The sequence below is a fragment of the Homo sapiens genome, chromosome X, assembly GCF_000001405.40.
Source record: "Homo sapiens chromosome X, GRCh38.p14 Primary Assembly".
Classification (NCBI taxonomy): domain Eukaryota; kingdom Metazoa; phylum Chordata; class Mammalia; order Primates; family Hominidae; genus Homo; species Homo sapiens.
This window is the reverse complement of record NC_000023.11, coordinates 27,552,159-27,574,808: the sequence shown is the minus strand read 5'-3', so window position 1 is coordinate 27,574,808 and position 22,650 is coordinate 27,552,159. Positions and strand designations below refer to the sequence as shown.

Genomic DNA, 22,650 nt, shown 5'->3' with positions numbered 1-22,650 from the left:
TATATGCTCCCCTAGAAGTTTGAGCAGCGGGGCACTGAAAAAGCGAGCCAGACCCCCATCGCACACCTGCGAGAGGGACAAGGGAAAATTTCCCATTTCAGTAAGACCTCTGGTCCTGCATATACCTGTCACAACACTAAATCGGTCAGAACAGTGGACTATAGAAGTTTTCTTGGAAGCCATTGCTACACTACATGGGATGGCTAGAAATAACTTTACTTGGACATGACTAAAAACCACAAACATGTATCACAGTAAACCCAAAGTAAATGTTTTTCAATTCACCTTCACCTTAGCCATATCTCAAAAGTTTCTTTGGCCACACCAGTGGCACCTGAGAGAAGGAAAATGTAACAGGAAGACATGTTACACTGGAAAGAAACAGTGAACTGCATAAAATAACCTTAATTTGCAAACTGTATAAAACACATGGTCATGTGAACACATTGCTATAAGCTCTCATGGGCCTTGGAAAAGTCAGGCAAGTTCAGGGCCTTAAAGTTGCAGCTTTAGATTCAGGGAGATTTTGCTGCTGCCACATGCCCATATTTGTTCTTCCTGTACTGTCGATATGTAACATGACCATGAGTAGATTTTTCAAAATCTACCTCATATTCTCTCTTGAGCTAAAAGGTTCTTTATACCAACCTATTGGCTCCTCAGGAAGCCCACTGAAGCCAGGCATGGTGGCTCATGTGTGTAGTTCCAGCTACTCAGGACGCTGAGACAAAAAAAAAAATCACTTGAGGCTAGGAGTTCAAGATCAGCCTGGACAACACAGGGAGACCTTGTTACTATAAAAATTTTAAAAATTAGCCTGGCATGGTGGCATGCACTTGTAGTCTCAGCTACTCAGGAGGCTGAGTCAGGAAGATTACTTAAACTCAGTAATTTGAGACCAGCCTGGACAATTTAGTGAGACCACAGCTATAAAAAAAAAAAAGAGAGAGAGAGAGAGAGAAAGAAGTGCATAGTCTCCAATAATTATGTAATACAACGTTTAGCATACATACCCTTAGGTGACCCAAGGTTCAAATAGCCCTCCCAGGCTAAGAATATCTTAGCGCTTGCTGATTCCTGAAATGCAGTGACTGGGGTCCTTTCCAAATGTGTTTCCCTCACTCCAATGCATCTCCTACATGCTGTATTTTAAAAGTTCAAGGGTTGGTGAAAATCTATTCCCCTAGTTTAAGAAAGCCTAAAGATTGCTTCATTTTCAAACATCCTCTATCTTCTGTCACCAATGGCTTAACTGATCTGCTCTTGATGACTTTTTGGTTACTAGATCTGCAGACCCTGAGCAGGCATTTCCATAATCCTAGCCATATATTTATTCATCCAGGGCCTAAAGATTGGCTTCAAATGTGTTCCTCAGCTAGGGCAACATTGCTGTCATTCTACCAGAAATACTCTCTGAGTAGCCAGAGGCCAGCTTAAGAGAGTGGATTAAAACACTGAGAAATTCACATCAACTGTCCCCTGTCACTGTCACTCTACCTGCTGATGTTTGTGTATGTCTCTCTCCGTGTGTGTGTGTGTGTGTGTGTGTGTGTGAGAGAGAGAGAGAGAGAGAGATTTCTTAAATACCTGTTCTTTTATTTTAACACCTTAAGAAATGGGCAAAGAGTACAGATATCAACCATGTTTGGGGTAATTAAGTGAAAATAATCTTGTACTCGTGACTTGTGATGCTGAAAGTGTGTTGGTAGCTATATTTACATATTTCTAAAATTTTTTTTTTCAAGTTGGGTCCATAGGAACCAAATCTTTTGCTTTCCTGACCTTAGACAAGTAAACCAATAGGAAATAAGACCCTACTTCTGATGTAGTAACACTGGGAAAGATTGATCCCAATAGAGGAAGATCATTCTAGGAGAACTTAGTCTTTTTCATTGATTAGAAATAACGCAGTATGTAACCTGCTTATTCAGATCATGCTTTGAGACTCACAAAATTTTTTCAGAAAATGTAACCAAAGTGGAAGGTCTAAGTAGACAAGCCACGGAGAAAGAAGAGAAGGGTTACTACCAGTGACATGTCACAGGACTCTTAATAAATAGGTCTGTGTCTCAGTACCCTGAGAATTATGAATCAGTATTCACTGACCCATATGAATGGGCTAAGAAATACTGGGCTATACTCCATTTCTGCCCTTTTCCCTCCTGCACATGTCCGACAACCTTCTCCATCACAACACTGTAGCTTTATTCTTGTAAGAAAACTAAATCAGGAATCATTCTTTCACATAAAGATATGAAACATAAGACTTACCTTTTTACTAAAAACAGGTTGTGGCAGAACTCTTATTTATCCTATGATGATGAAAAAATTGCATTTTAACTCCACATGGTCTCTATAGCATGGTGTGGTCATACTTCTCACATGGAAGCAAAGGGCTTCAAAACAAAAATAGCAGAAACTGCCATAAAGAGACGAAATTGCCCTGTTTAGCATTTTGGTCTTTCCCGGTGTCCCTGGCTGAGCTAACTATGGTGGACAAGAAGCCTGGAAAATACTTGGAAAAATTATTGGAAAAATACTTAGAATTGCTTGACTGTATGATAACAATCAGACCCTCTACATTAACCCCAGAAGCTATAGCCACAGCCACAAACAATTAACCAGAGTACTCAAGGACACTTACAGGTTAAAGGAATACTGAGGAGCATACAGAAAAAGTAGTAATGTGAAAGAAAAGGGGATTGTGTTTCCTTCTTCTAGTTATTGATGGCTACAAAAATAATTACACAACTAGTGACTTACTAAAACAATTTATTATCTCTTACAATATTATAGGTCGAGAAATTGGGCAGGGCTTGGTGAGACAATTTTTCTCCTCTACATAGCACTGATATGACCAATCCATCTTATTTAGCGGGTTGACCAATCCATCTTATTTAGCGGGTGTGTGGACTAGTTTGGGGGATTCAAGATGGCTTCACTCACATGCTACCAACTTGGCAGGATCACTGAAAAGCTGGGCTCAGCTGGGTCTCTCTCCATATCTATGTAGTCTTTGCATGTGTTTTCCCAACAGGATAGTTGGATTTCTTATTATGGCAGCTCTGGACTTCAAGAGGAGGTGGTAATTGCTACTTCCCTAAAAGATTAGGCCTGGAATAAGCCATAATATTACTTATTCCATATTCAGTCAGTTAAAGCAGTCACAGACCAGCCCAGATTTAAGGGGAGGAAATCTATACTTGACCTCTTCAATATCTGCAATATCTGGCCATTTTTAACCTACTACATCTCTCTTTGGTAAAAGTTGCTTAAGGCCAAATGTTAGCTGCAGAACTCGAAATCATGATGTCAGAACCATTCGCAATGCCAGAATTATTGAGGATAGCCCTCTCACCAAAAACTTCAGAACTCTAGCACTGATTATAAAAGTCTTAGTTAAACTCCACCACACCCAACACCTATAAACAAAGGCATTGTTCTAGTTCTGAAGAGAGCTGACCTTTGACAGAGGGAAGTAGGTGATCATATGGCTTTTGCCTGGGGACCTTTGGAGGCAAAGGTCAAATCTTTCCATCTATAAAAATATATGGGAGAAACCAGAAAGAATCTAGAGATGATCAACTGAATAGATTAAAGGATAGGAAATTACTTCCCTCAACAAAAATAAAGGAGTCTAGGCTATTGAGCCACAACAAAGCAAGCTATCCAAGATTAATAGATGTCTTCAAATATATGAGAGGATTTTCTCAGTAGGAAATTAAGCAGTTGTTCCACTTAGAAAGAGCTGTAGTAAGAGGAAATGACTTATATTGAAATGGATAAGAGAGAGGTAGGAGCTTTCTGTCTATTAGAGAATCAAAGAACATGAAACCAGATATTCCTAAAGCAAAAGAGGTTTTATTGGGTTTTGGAGTTAGTGTATTATTATTGAACTCTAAATTTATGAGAAAAAAATAAGTAACAGACTGAAAGGAGAGGGAGGATAATACATACAAATGGGATGTGGCTCCTGATATTAAATTGCTTACAGTCTATTTGGGAAGATAGTAAATGTGCATTAAGTAAATATTTAAAAGTAACAGAGAAAATTTGTAAACATACATGAGCTCCCACCTGAGGAGAGCTGCCCCGAATAGGCTGCTCCAGACCTCTATGGAATATTTATTCTGTCTTTCTTTTGGTTGCTGCAGAGGCTTCCCTTGCCTTCAGTTGTAGGAAGAGTTATGGAAAAAGGAAAAAGGGAGAGAGCTTCCCCTGAATTCTTCACAAATGCTCTCCAGTAATTTACAGGACACTGCAAAACATCCACATGCCAGACAGAAACTGCATGGGAGGGAGGGTTGTCAGTTGTTAATATTGTAACAGTTATGGAAATAGTAAATAGGAAGAAATGGGATAGAAGTGTCCAATAGATATCCCTCTCCCAAAGTGCTGATTGGTTGCATGTTCACAACTGAATGTGCCCAAACCTCTCCTCACTCAATACTGATCTTTCTTTCATTCTTAGCACATCTTAGTTCACATCCTATTTTTAAGTTTTTAGGTCATAGTACTGTCCACTTACTTTTCTACTCCTTCTCCCCTAGCCCCTGCCCAAAAGATACCATTGAACTACCACCCAGAAGCATACATTAGGGAAATCATAACTTTTAGAGGTAAGGAATGGAACAAAGCAGATGTTCCCTTCCCCTACCAAGTTTCTGGAGGTGCAGAAGGAGGTGCGACAGGAAGAGAGGCACTGAGCATACCTGTTTTTCCAAAGAAACGAGAGCTATCAGATATTTAATGGTTTCTGTGTATAAGGGGCTTTATATATTTTAGGTTTAATCATAAGAAAATTGTCCTTTTTTAAGCTTCAAAAAGTTGAATCTTGGCAATTTTTATATGATTCAACCTAAAAATATTACATTATACTTTAATCCTTATAACAACTCTGGGAGAAGGATATTATTAACTTTCTTATACATAACACATTTAACAAAACTGAGGCCCTGAGAGTCGAAATAACTTTAAGATCACACAGATACTGAGAAAAGAAGCTAGCGTATTAACAGAGTTTTATTCAATTCCAAAACCCCATCCACTATCCCTATTATGTTTGTGTCATGTTGATACCCATTCACATTTTAAGTCAGGTATCTTTAATTTTGCATACTTTTTGAAAGGCTTATCCCTATATTAAGCATACTTTCTACATTATTTTAAATTAGATAATCTTACTGGAGTTAAACAGCTGTATTCTAAACAGTCTTTGTCAATACAGCTACCTGAATTAGACAATCCCTTATACAAGAAAGTGTATGGATCTTGCCAAATAAGTCCCATCAATAATAAAGTCAATGAAGAATAGAAACAAAACAAAACAAAAAAAGGTATTGGCCATGACTATTGAAAATCTGGATTCTTGCCTGAACTGGGATATATGATTATAAAATAGAAATACATCCTGTTGGGACTCAGATTCAAGTTATCACTTTGTTAGGTCAAATTGATGTTTGCAGGTGTCTGGGTTGTACCATTTAGAAAGAGCCAGAGAGATCCAAGGTACAGGCAACAGAAACAAGCCTGAAAGATATCTGAGAGCTCATAAAAATATATCTCATTTTTAATATAAAAGAGGAACACATTCTTGGGGTTGGTGGTGGTAAGAGAATGGTTTGAACTATTGGTAGTATGTATTATAGAAGTCTAGTCAGGTATGATTTCCTTAGGGCAGGGCAATATCCTCTTCATCTTTGAATCCCTAACACAATGGTTTGTTCATAATGGGCATTTAATACATGGATAATGAATTAATTGGTTTCTAGGAAGCAAACTCTTCTCACAGCAAAGGTTAAAAATTAACTCTGTGTGTGTGTGTGTGTGTGTGTGTGTGTGTGTGTGTGTGTGTGTGTGTGTTTGAGTTCCAAAGGCTTGGGGAGCTATGATAAAGAAGAAAGAATTAGGTGGGAATTGAACAATGAGAACACATGGACACAGGAAGGGGAACATCACACACCGGGGCCTGTTGTGGGGTGGGGGGAGCGGGGAGGGATAGCATTAGGAGATATACCTAATGTTAAATGATGAGTTAATGGGTACAGCACACCAACATGGCACATGTATACATATGTAACTAATCTGCACATTGTGCACATGTACCCTAAAACTTAAAGTATAAAAAAAAAAGAGTCAGAAAAAAAAAAACAGAAATGGAGTGCCAACTAGTTCATGTATCTGGTACTTGCTCTACAAACTTCTTAATTGAATAAAAATATCACAAAGACATTGAAATTAAAAATCCAGATTCTAGCTGTTATAACTGAGTTTTAGTTTAAGTTACAGTCCTGTCTAGAGAAAAAAATAGATTTGTAGTATCATTACTCAGAAATAATGACTTACTAATTTAGATAATACAGTTTTTAAAATTATTTATTTAAAGATAAGACTTTGATTCATGTCATGCTTTCAGGCCTAGTTATGCTTCTCAAAAAATGTTGCCATGGGCAGAGGTAAAACAGATCAGCTAAAAGCTTTGAAGCTTGATTTGAAGGTAAAAGTTTTACAGAAAAAAAACCTGTCTCCAAGACAAATCAGCAATATTACTTTAGGGAGTTTACTACTCCTGTCTATGACATATACTTCCATTTCCAAAAAAAAATTTTAGGTTATAATGGGTGTTTAATAAAAATTATAGAAGGCCATTGTTTTGGGCTGATTTTCTGCATTAGGCTCCAACAGACCAGATTAAAAACCAAAATGCAGTTACCCATGCTAACATTCTATGTCACCAAACTCAAACTAAGTTATTATCTGACCTTCCCAGAAATCAGGAGAAAGAAAACCAGCCAATGTCCTAAACAGGCCAGATTTTTTGTTGTTGATAAAAAAAAATAATTTACATATTTATGAGGTAGATGTATTTGTTACATGCATAGAATGTATAATAATCAACTCAAAGTATTTTAAATCTTTAATCAGCATGATAATAAAGTTCCTTCTGTTTTAATACTTAACTAATCAGCTATTTTTCTATTGTTCTGTCTCCCTGTCTGTCTTAAAACAAAACTAGCTTTGAAATCACTAATACACTCTTTATTCTTTGCTTCTGCTTTCTTCAGCCCCTCTCTGTCTATAAAGCCAACCCTTTCTACTCAATTCATTGGAGCACTTATTCTATTTTATGGAATAAAGTATCATATAATTCTAGAATTGCAATAAAGTTAATTTAGGTCTTTAAATAAAATCTGTTATAATTTTGTCCTTTGACACTGTTTTCATATATATATATATATATATATATATATATATATATATATGCTACAGTGGTGATCCTTAGACAAAATAGATTTGAAGTCTAACACTGTCTCTAGAGGGAAAAAAAGGTCATTATATAATGAAGCAAGGGTCCATTCAGTAGGGACTTATAACAATTATAAATATATACCTACCCAACATCAGAGCACCCAAAATATAAAGTAAATATTGACACATCACAAATAATAAATTGACAGCAACAAAATAATAGTAGGTGACTTTAATAACCCACTTACAATAAGGGATAGAACATCCAGACAGAAAATCAATAAAGAAACAGCTGACTGGAGCAACATTATAGAGCAAATGGAACCAACAGACATATACAAAACTTTCCACCTAAAAGCAAAATAATACACATTTTTCTCAAGTGCACATGGAACATTCTCCAAGAACCTGTTAGGTCACAAAACAAGTCTTAACAGATTTAAGAAGATCAAAAATCATTCCAAGTATCATCTCGGACCACGGTGGAGTGAAACTAAATTAAATTAACTAAATTAACAGTAGGAAAAGTGGATATTCACAAATATGTGGAAACTAAACAACACACTCTTGAACAACCATTGGGTCAAAGAGAAAATCAAAACGGAATTTGAAAAGTACCTTGAGAAAAACAAAGTGAAAACACAATATACCAAAACCCATGGGATTCAGCAAAAGCAGCACTAAGAGGGAAGTTTATAGCAATAAACGCCTACCTTAAAAAAGCAGAAAGATCTCAAATAAACAACCTAACTTTATACCTCAAGGAACTAAAAAAAGAAAAACAACCTAAGTCCAAAGTTAGCAGAAAAAAGGAAACAATAAAGAGTAGAGAAGAAATAAAATTGAGAATATTAAAAAATAGAAAAAATAAAAGTTGGTTTTTCAAAAGATAAATAAAATCAACAAATCCTTGGCTACACTAACTAAGAAAAAAGAGATAAGGTTCAAATAATTAAAATCAGAAATGCAAAAGGAGACATTACCATGTATGTCTCAAAACTCAAAAAGGATTTTAAGGGTCTATTATGAATAATTATATGCCAACAACTAGATAACCTAGAAGAAGTGGAAATATTCCTAAAACACATAGCTTACTAAAACTGAATCAAGATGAAATAGGAAATCTGAACAGAACAATAACAAATAAGGTGATTGAATCACTAATCAAAAATTTCACAGCATAGAAAAGCCCCGTGAGAAAGGAGAAAGTAAGGAAACAGTTAGGCAGATAGTTAGAGCAAGGTCCTTGGTAGAATTCTTTCTAACAAAAGAGCAGCCTGAAAACTCAAGCTGCAAGCACAGATAAGGAGGCAAGGTCCAACATAAAACATTTTTGTTGTAACCAATAAGTTTCACATACACACAGTGGGCTCCAGTGGATACATTCCTTTCCTTTTTTGGGCATACTCAGATAAGAGAACTTCCACAGGGTCGGGGGGGCGGGAGTTGGCTAAGACATGCTCGCAGCTGCACAGATAAGAGGAGTTGTACAGAACTAAACGTATCTGCAATAGAAAATTCCATCTCCTAACACATGCACAGTAAGGGAAACAGAGTTACTTAGAACAGTAACTCATGCTAAGGGTCCACATGCACACTAGAGGGATGGGGTGGAGCTGTCAGAAATCCACACCTTATACAAATTAAGACACCCAGCCCTAACCTGTCTTTTTGTGCCTTATGCAAAGAGATCCCCCGGCCCCACCAAGTCCCTCAAAAAAACCTTTGTAGTCAACTCTGAAATGGCATCTCTCTCAGGCCCCCTCTCCCCAGTGGAGAGCTTCCCTCTTTCGCTTATTAAACTTTCACTCAAACTCACCCTTGGTGTCCACACTCCTTGGTCGTGAGACAAAGAGCTTCAGGTAATACCTCAGACAATGAGACTGCTTCACCAGGACCAGATGGCCTCAGTGAAACACTTAAAGAAGAATTAATACCAATCCTTCTTAAACTCTTCCAAAAAAACAGAAAAATGAGAATAATTCCAAACCCATTCTATGAAGTCAACATCACTCTGTCATAAAAATCAGGCAAAGACACTACAAGAAAACTACAGACCAAAATCCCTGATAACATAAGAGTAAAAATCCTCAATTAAATACTAGCAAACTGATTTCAACAGAATATTAAAAGGATCATACACCATGACCACATGGAATTTATCTCTGACATGTAGGATGGGTCAATATATATACACAAAGCAATCAATGCAATGCAACACATTAAAACATGAAAGAAAAAGAACCACATAATCATCTCAATAGACTCAGAAAAAGCACTTGACAAAGTTCAACATCCATTTATGATTAAAACTCTCAACAAAGTAGGCATAGAAGGAACTTACCTCAGCACAATAAAAGCCATATATGAAATAACCCACAGCTAATGTCATAATCAATGGGGGAAAATGAAATCTTGCCCTCTAAGGTCTGGTACAGGGCAAGTGTATTAGTCAGGGCTCTCTAGAGGGACAGAACTAATGGAATGAATATATATAATATATAATGTATTGTTAAAACTATAGTTTTAACAACACATTAATTGTATTGTTAAAAAATAATTGTTAAAACTATAGTTTTAACAATTGGGAGTGATTCCTAATGCCTATAATCCCAGTACTTTGGGATGCTGAGGTGGGAGGATTGCTTGAGGCCTGGAGTTTGGGACCAGCACATAGGGACACCCCCGTTTCTACAAAAAATTTTTTTTTAAAATCACCTTTCTGCAGGGTTTTCCAGGATTGAAGAGAGTTTTAAAGGAAGCATGGCCCAAAATTACTAGTTGTTCATTATAGACAGCTGTATTCTTACAGAGGAATTTTTTTTTCATTGACAAAAGGTTTGTTCCAGACTTACAGGGTCAGACATAAGCCTATTATTCCAGTATGTGAGATGGACCCATTGACCCATTTCCAGTCTCGCCATTATCCACTCCAATACATTTTACATGGTCTATTCAAATAGACTCCCAGATATGCTGATGTGGCATAGAAGCCTACGTTCTGTGTGTGTGTGTGTGTGTGCATGTGTGTGCGTGCACGTGTGTGTAAGAGAGAAAGAGAGCACGTGCACCTCAACTGTTACATAAGCACTCATTCTTTTTGATACTTAAAATTCACTTTCCTTTACCTTTCAATTCACTGAAATTCAAAATTTTCAGAAAATATGCTGATATGGTTTGACTCTGTCCCCACCCAAATCTCACCTTGAATTGTAGTTCCCATAATCCTCACGTGTTGTGGGAGGGATCCTGTGGGAAGTAATTGAATCATGGGGTGGTTATCCCCATGCTGCTTTTCTCGTGATAGTGCGTTCTCACGAGATCTGAAGGTTTCATAAGGGGCTTTCCCCCTTTTGCTTGACACTTCTCCCTGCTGCTGCCATGTCGAGAAGGACCTGTTTACTTCCTCTTCTGCCATGATTGTAGGTTTCCCAAAGCCTCCGCAGCCATGCTGAACTGTGAGTCATTTAAACCTCTTTCCTTTATAAATTACCCAGTCTCAGGTATATGTTTATTAGCAGCATGAAAACGGACTAATACATATGCACAAACATTGAAGTAAAAGCATTGAAAGTACAGCCAGTGTAAATTACTTAAGAGTAAGAGACAGCCACTGGACCTTTTTTAGCTTAACAAATATACAAGCTATTAAATATTGAAGCTATTAGAGCAAATCAAATGAAATGTCTACTTATTGCGAAAAAATCAAATACATACTGTATGAGAAAGTCATTTCCTAGTAAGCAATATATAAGTGTGTATTAAAATGATCTATTATTATTCACCTCTACATAAGCATATTTGAAAACTACTTTGTATTAAGTCTAAATGGGGAGTGTATCTGCCATTTAAGGTAGAAATTAAAATTCAATTTGCCTTTCATAAGTAAATGTATTTCTCTGTAGCAATATTGCTTAAATTGACATAGGTTCTTCAAAGAGCATATTGTATTACATTTTATGTCAGGTAACTCTGCACCAAAGAGGGAATGCCCAAGACATGAAAAATCAGTGCATTTGACATATTTGGATTGAATATTGAAAGAGTCATATCCTAATATCAAAAGGTCAAATTACAGAAAAGGCTAGAAAAATGTGAGAAATATGTCTATGGTCCCCCCTCAAGGCTAGTGGAACTCTGGCTGAAATTTTACCTTTCATTTTGCAATAAACTTTTTTGGCATGAAATTAAGTGACTGTCACAGACAAGAGTTATTAAAGGACAAAAAATCATTTTAAACAATACCTAAATTTAAGAAAAATGTTAAACAATAAAAACCAGCAGGCAAGAAAGAAAGAAAGATGGATAGGTGGATGGATGGATAAATATATTTTTTTTTCTATTTTTTTCATTCAAGGCCAGGTGAACCTCTCAAGCTATACAATTTTATGTTTCATCCAGAGAAACCAGTTCGTACTTCTATTTGTAGAGAATAATAAAAAGGCAGCAAAAATATAAATATATGCAAATAAGAATATAACCGAAAAGAGAAAATTAACCCTGCATATGTTATCTATCAACACTTCATATTCATGCCCCAATTGTTGAATGTTTGGAGACTATTCAACATGACCACAAGCTACTTAATGAAATATAACAACTATTAAGAAGGCCTCTAAATTGCATCAAAATATAACATATGCAATAGACATGGTGATGAGACACCCAGATTTTATGGAAGGAAAAATCTGATGCTTAGCTTTCGAGAGAGAAGTAAGAAGACAGACTAGCTATCAGCTCTTTCCACTTTTGCTTCCGAGGCAGAGAATACCTTTATCAAAGTCGCATACTTCTGAGGGCAGCCCACATCTGGTGGCTGGGTCAGTGGCAGGCATAAAGGCCTGACCATTTTGGCCCAAATCAGGACAGTATGATAAGCAATTGTTGCTCCAGAGCTCCCCGCCAGGTTGGAGAATGCTGTCAGGCCTGCATTTCAGTTTGACTTCTCCCTCTGCCTCATCTTACTCTTTCCACCTCCTTTAACAGAGGTTGATTCCTAATAAATATTTTGTACCTCAAACTCTGTTTCACATCTCCTTCTGTAAAACCCAATCAGCAACCGTTGGTACCAGGAGTGATCTGAGAAAGCAGGCAATAAGATGGTGTTTTAGAGCTGGGTCACTCACCACCCTACTGGCTACGAGGAGGACTCCTGGTGATAAGTGATGATAAGTGGACCGTGGTGAGCTTTTGGCACAAGGTGGCTGTTAAATTGTTAAAACTTTCACTAGTGGCAAATCAGGAGGGTACACCCTCCTAGCAGGTGCAATGCACTAGAAATGCCCTAGCAGGTGCAATGTACTAGAAATGGCCTAGCAAGTGCAATGTACTAGATGTGTGTTACTTATGGAGAAAATATTAGATAAAAGGATAGTGGAGCACATGAAAATATGCTCAACATCATCAGTCATTAGGGAAGTGCAAATCAAAACCACAATGAGATACAAGTTCACACTCAGGATGGTTATAATGAAAAAGAAATACAATAGTAAGTGTTTACAGGCATGTGAAAAAACTGAAACCTTCATATTTTGCTTGTGGAAATATAAAATGGTCCAGTCACTTTGGAAAAAAGTTCCTCAAAAAGCTAACCATGGAGTTACCATATGATCCTGTAATTTTACTCCTAGTTATATACCTAAGAAATGAAACATATTTCTACACAAAAACTTGTATTGAAATGTTCATAGCAACATTATTCATAATAACCAAAAGTAGAATCAACCTAAATGCCCACCAACTAATGAATGGATAAATAAAATGTGCTGTATCAATATAATTGAATATTATTCAAAAATAAAAATATATGAAGTACTGAAACATACTACCACATGTATGAACCTTAAAAATGCACTAAATGAAAGAATCCAGTCACAACCCCCCCATGCATATTGTATTATTTTATATCCAGAACAGATATATTCATAGAGATAGAAAGCTAATTAGTGTTTTTTTAGGGTACAGAGTAGGGGTGACTGCTAATGGGTATGGGTTTCTTTCAAGGGGAACAAAAATACTATAAAGTTAGATCATGGTGATGGTAGTGCAACACTGCGAATATACTAAAAAACACTGAATGTAGACTTTGAATTGGTCAATTATATATAACATAAGAATTATATCTCAAAAAAGCTGTTAAAAGATTAAACCCACCCTGATCCTGGAATGGGGTGAGGATCCCTCATTTAAAAATAAGATAATGGGATTGGGTGGCTATAGCTAAATGTGATTGATGCGGTACAATAACAAACAGCTGAGAGCAAGTAACAGAATTAAAAGCCAGGTGTGAAAGTCAGCTGACCTTTTTGAGAGTAGAGAAAGAAGCAAGAAATGGCTAGCACATAGAAGACTTGGAAAGACACACAAACTCGAAAGATAAGAGGGAACCTCTACAAAGATTCAGGGCCAGCCATGCCCTTAAAATTGTAGGAGTCCACTAGTCCCGTGCTGGGACATTCCCTCCAAAGTAAAGGACAAGTTGGTCTTTTCAAGTCTAAAAGCAGCATATTTCACACTTTGGAATACTATTCCCACCCAATTATTTTGTGACATAAAAGGCTGCCAGCTTTGAAAAGAACTCAGAGGATAAAAGGGCTCTGCAACAGTTCCATACTGTAGTGCAAGCAGTCTTACTGCTTAGGCCATAAGATTTGGCAAACACTTCATGTTGAAATCATCAACAGTGGGAAAAGGTGCTGTATGGAAATTGTGGCAAGCCCTAGTAGAATAATCACAATACAGGCTCCTAGAGGTCTGGAACAAGGCCATGGCATCAGCAACAAATTATATTCGTTTAGAAAAACAACTTCTAGTGTGTTACTGGCCCCTGATAGAAATGGAACTATTTCCCATAGAACACTAAGTGTCCATATAGCCAGAACTACTGATCGTGAATTAGAGCCTGTGAACATCATCAAATCTGACTGAGTAAACCCAGAAAAAACATGTAATGTGGAATGGCAGTGGTGCATCCGGGATAGAGCATGAATAGGAGTAGTAGCCACAAGTAAGCTGCATAGTAGCTATCACCGTTACATCAGTATCACTCCCTCAGCTCACAGCTATGACTACATGGGAGAATTCTACATTACCAGCTGAAGGAAGAGAATAAAAAGCCACCACAGATTTGTTTACTCATGGACTGGCTTAGTATGCGGGCGCAAGTTGATAAGTGGATTCTAGTGGAATTATAGACTCACACATAATGACCTTGACAGACAGGGGTAAAGAAAAATCCTCCCAGTGAACAGAGGTTAAGGCAGTTCACCTTGTCATCTTTTTTTTTTTTTTTTTGAGATGGATATCTTGCTCTGTCGCCCAGGCTGGAGTGCAGTGGCATGATCTTGGCTCATTGCAAGCTCTGCCTCCTGGGTTCATGCCATTCTCCTGCCTCACCCTCCCAAGTAGCTGGGACTACAGGCACCCACCACCACGCCCGGCTAATTTTTTGTATTTTTAGTAGAGATGGGGTTTCACCGTGTTAGCCAGGATGGTCTCGATCTCCTGACCTCGTGATCCACCTGCCTAGGCCTCCCAAAGTGCTGGGATTACAGGCATGAGCCACCGTGCCCGGCTGTCATTTTTTTTTTTTAACGTGGAAAGAGAAGTTGCACAAGTTTAAAGTATATACACACTCATGGACAGTGGCAAATAGTCTGGCTGATGGTCAGAGACCTGGAAGGAGAAAGATTGGAAGATTGACAAAAGTAAGTTGTTAGGTAGAGATGTGTGGATGGACACACAGAGTGGGCATAAAGTATGAATTGGAGCTTTTTGTATCACGTGTTAACACCGAACAGAAATCATCCTCCATGGCAGAGGCATTAAACAGCAAAGTAGACAGTGACCTACCTGACTAGTTGAGGTCAGACTGCCACTGTCATTAGCCATCCCAGTCCTAGAACTATGGCCACGTGAACGATGTAGCCACGGTGGCAGAGGTGGAGGCTATGAATTTGCCCAACAGCATGGACACCCACAGATCAAGACTGTCATTGCTACTGCAGCCAATGATTGTTCAACATGGCAGCAGAAGCAACAACAACAAACAGGTTATTAGCCTTGATATGTTCTCATACCTCTCACGGGCCACAAGCAACTTGTTGGTGGCAAGTTGACTACAGTGGGCCCCTTCTAACCTGGAAAGGCCAGTGGCTTGTTTACATAGGAACAGACACTTATTTTGGATATGGGTTTGCCTTTACTGCCTGAAAGGTCCTCAACTAGCAATCCTTGTTCAAGGGTTTATACAATGTTTGATCCCCTGGTGTGTAGCTTCACATAACATAGAGGCAGACTGACCATCTCTTTACAGCAAAGGTCGTGTGGGATTGGGCCTGTATTAGTCCCTTTTCGCAATGCTATAAAGAACTACCCATGACTGGGTAATTTATAAAGATGAGAGGTTTAATTGACTCGCAGTTCTATGGGCTGTACAGGAGGCATGGCTGGGGGAGGCCTCAGGAAACTTAAAATCATGGCAGAGGCTAAAGGGGAATCTGGCACGTCCTACATGGCTACAGGAGAGATCCATGATCTAATCACTTCATACCAGGTCCCTCCCTTGACACATGGGGATTACAATTTGAGATGAGATTTGGGTGGGGACACAGAGCCAAACCATATCAGGCCCTTGAGCATAAGATCTACTGGCCATATTACATATTTTATGATCCAGAATCTGCAAGTCTAATAAAGTGTTGGAACACAGCCTGATGAAAGCACAGCTGAAGCAGCAGCTCAGACACATGGACACAGGAAGGGGAACATCACACTCTGGGGACTGTTGTGGGTTGGGGGGAGGGGGGAGGGATAGCACTGGGAGATATACCTAATGCTAGATGACGAGTTGGTGGGTGCAGCACACCAGCATGGCACATGTATACATATGTAACTAACCTGCACATTGTGTACATGTACCCTAAAACTTAAAGTATAATAATAATAAATAAAAAATTTAAAAAAAGAAGGAATACTCCATCCCCCAGCATATTTTATATGCCCAAAATTAACAACCTTTATATGATATTGTGTTCCCAGTAAACAAACTATCTGGAAACTAAGAAGTAGAATCAGGAGTTGTCAAACACTTATTATACCCAATGACCACTGGAGGCTGTTATGCTGTCCACTCCTGCAACTCTAGGCTCTGCCTGGTTAGACATCTTTTTTCCCAAAAGAGGGCACAATTTCCCCAGGGACAAAGCAAGAGTGGCATTGACTTATAAAGTACAATTGCATACAAAAGGAGCCACTGTCTTGGCAGGAGAACCTGACCCTGATCCTGAGGAGGAAGTAAGGCTGCTTCTACAGTGGTAGCATTAGAGGAATGTACATGAATTCGAGGTGATCCACTTGAGTACTTCTTGGTACCCCCTTGTGCAATTGTGACTGTAAAGAGGCAGTTTTTACAGTCTGTTGTGGCCACACTTTTACAGGAAGGGCAGAGTGACCAGGCACTCAAGGGTGTCAGAGTGAGGATCTGCGTCATGCCAGTGCATAAACCACTAAGCCCAACATATATGGTAGTTGATGGTGGGGTTATTTAAGATGAAAGTGGAGGAGGGAAATGAACAGCAGTTGTGGTCCAGAGTCCCAGTGTAGCAGCAGAGACTCTAGTTTGTCTCACTAACCTCCTTCATCTAAGTTCCTCTTAGAGATGGCCACTGGAATTTTCTAGGCGCTCTTTCCCAAATGTGCATAGAGAAGTATATGTATGTGGAATAAAGTGTGAACTCTGATAGACATGGAAATGCAATACCCGGATCCACTTATAAGGAAGGGCTTGCTGCTCTTCCACGTGGAAGCCCATACAGGGTTGCCCTCAGCTACATAGAACTTTTTCGTCAGGTCACGTCCTTCCCAGAAGAGCCCATATCTCTCACTGAGCAAAGCGGGAATGTGAAGGCACAACCTCTACAGCCCAACATGAGATACTCTGAAAAGCATTACTCCAAAGCTTCCAGCATCACAATTCAATTTCTTCCTCTCATCTTCACTAATAAGCATCTTGTTTCCAAACTCTTTCTCAGCAACTACTCTTATAGAATCTAACCTGGGACAATAAATTTAATAGCTATTTTTACTCGGATTGATGTATTTATGGTAGTAATGCTTACCATTGTATTCCTTTCATTTGGTGAGATAGTCTCCTAGAATATGAAAATGACATTATTTTGACGAAATTAACCTTTAAAATTTAAATAATTAACATATTACCAAGCTAAACATTTCAATTTTCACATTTGTATTGTCTTTGTGGTGTCAGAAAGGACTACACTAAAAGTTGTTGGATCAGATCCTGAAAACAAGATTATCTAATGAAAATTATCTGTAGTATTTTGATCATTCAAACTGATAGAAATAATTTTGGCACAAAAGAATTTACATTGGAGCTTTTTGTCTGTTTCAATTATTTTCTACTCCTTTTACCTGAATACCTAGAAATATTTCTAAATCACTTGCACAATTCAAACAGAACAAATTACATTTCAGTTTGTGGAACCAACTTTTATATATTTTTTCTATACTACTGATGAGAATACTTGAAAATATTTCAAAGCCATTTACTATGTGAAAAATAACACCAAGTTAATATATTTAGGTGTTATTTAGGCCTGAGTACTTTGAAAGATAAGATAAAGTTAATGTTGGTGTTTAAATTATCCCTGTTCCTATTCTCACCAATATTTACCAAGCATTCCCTTTAAAGGATGCATTTGGCAGGTGAAAAGCACGGATGACCTGTCCCACAGCACATTCCTAACAGCTGCATCTGGAGCTGATGTTATTTTCCTGGCTGCATTAGCATTCAGCTGTGTGATAAATATCAACTGCTTGGGATTTCTAAGCTTTATACACTTGCTTGGGTGATTTTGCACTTCTAGTCTTCGACTCTTTATCATGTTCTTATGGCACTTCAGTTAGAATTCTTCCTTTAAGTAAAATTTTATGATAGAGAAGGGGATGTTTCATCACATCACAGCTTGCATTTTCAACTTTTCTGCATGAGTGAGAATCATAATTTGGAAATAATCCACAAACAACTAGACCATTTTTCAGCATCAGGAATGGTGGTGGCATAAGAACCAAACACTTTTATCAATAATCAGATAGTAAGTTTGCAAAGTCAATCATTTAACACTATTATAATATAAAAAATGGCTTGTGTTTATATCGCACATTACACTTAATGAAATGCTGGTACATACATCATATAAAATGATCCTCAGAAATAACATGTGAGCTTTTGGGGTAGTCTTTAGTATCTCTGTGTTATAGAAGGAGGTGCTGGGGCCCAGAGAAACTGATTTAATTAGGGACAGTTTAATATAAATAATTATTAAGCTATAATAAAAGAGTGATTTATAAGACGTAAGAGAACTCTATATGGTAACCTAGGGCTGGGAGACAGTACCCAATGAGCGACAAACTTGGAAGGGAACCACTTTCCCAAGGCTAGCATGCAGACTTCATTGGAGAAGGTGAAGTTTCAGCTCACTGAATGGCAGAAAAGTACACTTGTCTCTCCGGGCCAGAGCTGGTCAATAGTCACTGATCAAGTAGGAAGCCAACCACCAGGGTATAGGCAAACCACATCTGGTGGGTGGGTTCATGGGTGTTCAGAGAAAGTGGGGGTGTCAGTGCTGAAGGGAGATTCAAGCACGTGATGTTAGTGTTTTAAGGGCCGAGGAAGGTGATCACCAGGCAGGGCTAGAGCTGTGAAGTCACCTAGGGACTGCACACTGTGGCATGTGGCTGTGGTAGAACACCACTGGATGCTCCCAAACTCACACCTCTCACCAACAGCACAGCAGCTGGAATCAATAGAAGCCTCTTCCTCCTGCAATGTCACTACAGCGACCTCTAGTGAGAAAGTTTAACATTGTATTCACTGCAAAAGAGAAATCCTTACAGGAATTCTATCCATTATTGCAGAGTAGGTATTAAAGGATAAATCTGGAACTGAGATGGAATAAATAACAATCACAGAAACCTATCAGGAGCTCAGTGTTGGTCTCTTAAGCTGTCAGGTTTGATATTTGACAACAACAGTAGCTAAATGATCCATGTTGAATGAGACCCATGCATTGCCTTGATCCCAACCAACATGTCTACTTTTTTCATAAGCCCATTGTGCCAACATTTGAAAAGGCCAATGTCAGAACCTGAATGAGTGGATGATTTTATGGTAGATGTTCTCTCTTAGGGGTTGACATGCAAAGCAAAGATATTCACATTTTGTGCCCACTCACACGTCAATCTGCATGCCTCTATACCAAATGTCTTGGCTACATCTTCTAGCCTTTTTTTCTGTTGGGCCTCTGATCAACAAACCAAGTTATTCACAATTGCCATGAGTCCATATATTTTATCTCTGGACACTTATATTTTATTCAAAGTGAATGCCCAGTTACAGCATCTCAGCCATTGCCTGTCAGGTAGATTTTTTCCTTACTGCAATCTTTCAAGGTTACCCCTGCGTTAAGATGCGTGTAGCACAGTCCATTTTCAGCCTGTATGCATCCACAGACTGGGATTGGCTGATTCATTCTCTATCAGGTGTTCATATGGGATCCTCTGTGTGGCCATAGATATAAACAGAAAGAAAGTTTCTGGTGCAGCTATGGTGTGTGATTCAGAGGTCTGGCACAACTGAATGTGTAGTTTTCTTGTGCCCTCTGTTCTGGTGCATGTCTGCTCCTTGGTGTATTACTTCCTTCTTAATTAATTGCAAAAGAACCCACCTGACTGTAGGATTTTGCGGGTCTGACAGATCCTTCTCATGATTGGCAGCTGTAATCTCGTGGTAAGAAATTTGATGACTAAAAGTCAGATGCTCCCTCTCTAACCCAGCAACACACGAGGAGCTGTTTTTCAAATGATGCATGATTTTATGCTGCAGACTGCATGGCTTTCCTCCAAAATTAAAGGGTTCTAAATTGTGATTCTCTTATTGGAGCTTGCTCTAGAATCCATACCATATCTTTTTACACAACACATGCTTCTAGTACAATAGGGTTTGTTGAATTGTATAGCACGACCGCTTGTACAATGGTTTCGGCCTGCTGCAAAGCCCTTTCTTGACCTGATCCTCACTTAAAGCTGCCAGCCTTCCTTGTCACTTAGTAAATGAGTCAGAACAGTCACAAATGACCTTGGGGTAGCAAATGTGCCAGGGTTGGAAAATCAACCTTTTCTGAAGCTCTGTTTATGGTATAATTAAGTCTTGGACATAATCCTCAGTTTTTTCTGCCCCTAGGCTACAGGAGATGAGAATCTTTATGTGCTGTAAGGGAGATCCTCTGGTTTTCACAACTCACTTTATATAGGTAATTGATCACCTTCATCCTTTCTTTCAGTTTTTTAATGCAAGGGTCAACAAACATTTTCTGTGAGGCGCCGGAGAGTAAATATTTTAGGATCTGAGAGCTACATATGGTTTCTATTTGAATTTTTTCTTCTTTTAAAACCTTTTAAAATGTAAAAACATTCTTAGCTTGAGGGCTGTAACTTCCTCTAGTGTAACAATGGCCCCTAGCAATAGCCATCTGACTCCAATGTCCTTATAATGACTATTTCCCTTGAAACCCTTACATGCCAGAGGCATTGCATCCACTAGTGCATTCTGTTCAACCAATATTTCATTGCAGTTTTTCACGAGTGAAAGTTTTAACAATTTTTCTAAGCCTCATAGTAACCACAAAGCAAAAACCTATAAAAGATAAACTAAAAATAAATAGCATGGAATTCAATCATACTACCAAAGAAATCACTTAATCACAAAGAAAGACAGAAAGGAAAAAAGGAAGAAAGTATAATGGCTGTAGTAAACCCTTACCTATCAATAACCTTGAATGTAAATGGATTGAACTCTCTAAACAAAAAACATTGAGTCAAGAAATTCACTTCACTTATAAAGACAGGCATAGACTTTATGTGAAGGGATGGAAAAATATTCCATGCAAATGGAAACCAATAAAAAGCAGGATTAGCTGTACTGATATCAGATAAACAGTAAGTCATCAAGAAGATTTAAAAAAAAAGACAAAGAAGGTCATTATATAATGACAAAGGAATCAATACAGCAAGGGGATATAGCAATTATAAACACATATGCACCCAACACCGGAGCCCAGAAATATATAAAGCAAATATTAGTAGACCTAAAGGGAGATCACTTGCAATACAGTAATAGTAGGTGACTTCAACAACCCACTATAAACAATGAACAGATCATCTTGATAGAGAATCAGCAAGAAAACATCAGAGTTGAACTGAACTCTAAACCAAAAGGACCTAGCAGACATTTAAAGAATATTCCATCCAACAGCCATAGAATACACATTCATCTCAATAGCACATGGTCATATATATAGAAAATTCTAAAGACTCTACCAGAAAACTGTTAGAACTAACAAATGAATTCAGTAAAGTTGCAGGACATAAAATCAACATACAAAAATCTGTAGCATTTTTATACACCAATGGTGAACTAAAAAAGAAATCAATAAATCAATCCCATTTACAATAACTACAAAAGTAAAATAAAATAAAATACCCAGGAATAAGTATAACCAAAGAATTGAAAGATTTCTAAAAGGAAAACCATAAAATACTGATGAAAGACACAAATGGATGGAAATATATTTATGTGCATAGATTGGAAGAATTAATATTATTAAAACATCTATACTACCCAAAGCAATCCACGGACTAAATGCATTTTCAATCAAAATACCAATGACATTGTCACAGAAATAGAATTAAAATTTATATGGCCTTGAATAGCCAAAGCAATCTTGAGCAAAGAGAACAAAGCTGGAAGCATCATGCTACCTGACTACAAAATATAATACAAAGCCATAATAACCAAATCAGCATGATATTGGCATAAAAATAGATGTATAGACCAATGGAACAAAATAGAGGGACCAGAAATAAATCCATGTATCTAGAGCCAACTGATTTTTGACAAAGGCACCAAGAGAACACATTGGGGAAAAGATAGTTTCTTCAATAAATGTTGCTTGGAAAACTGGACATTCATATGCAGAAAAATGAAACTAGGCCATTATTTCTCACACATATGAAAATCACCTCAAAATGGATTAAAGACTTAAATGTAAAACTCAAAATTATAAAACTACTAGAAGACAACATAGGGGAAATGCTATATAAATTTGTCTGAGCAAGGATTTTTTTTATAAGACTACAAAAACACAGGCAACAAACACAAAAATAGACAAATGAGATTACATCAAACTAAAAACATTCTGTACAAGAAGGGAAACAATCAACAGAATAAAGAGACAACCTACAGAATGGGAAAAATATTTGCAAATTATGCATTTAACAAGGAGTTAATATTTAGAATATATTGGGAATTCAACTCAGTAGCAA

At 37.9% G+C, this 22,650-nt stretch overlaps 1 protein-coding gene across 1 annotated transcript in view; it reads right to left on the bottom strand.

Annotated features, from left to right (window-relative positions):
* DCAF8L2 (DDB1 and CUL4 associated factor 8 like 2) overlaps positions 1-22,650 on the bottom strand; it is a 281,002-nt gene that overhangs the window by 175,134 nt on the left and 83,218 nt on the right. The window lies entirely within an intron of this gene.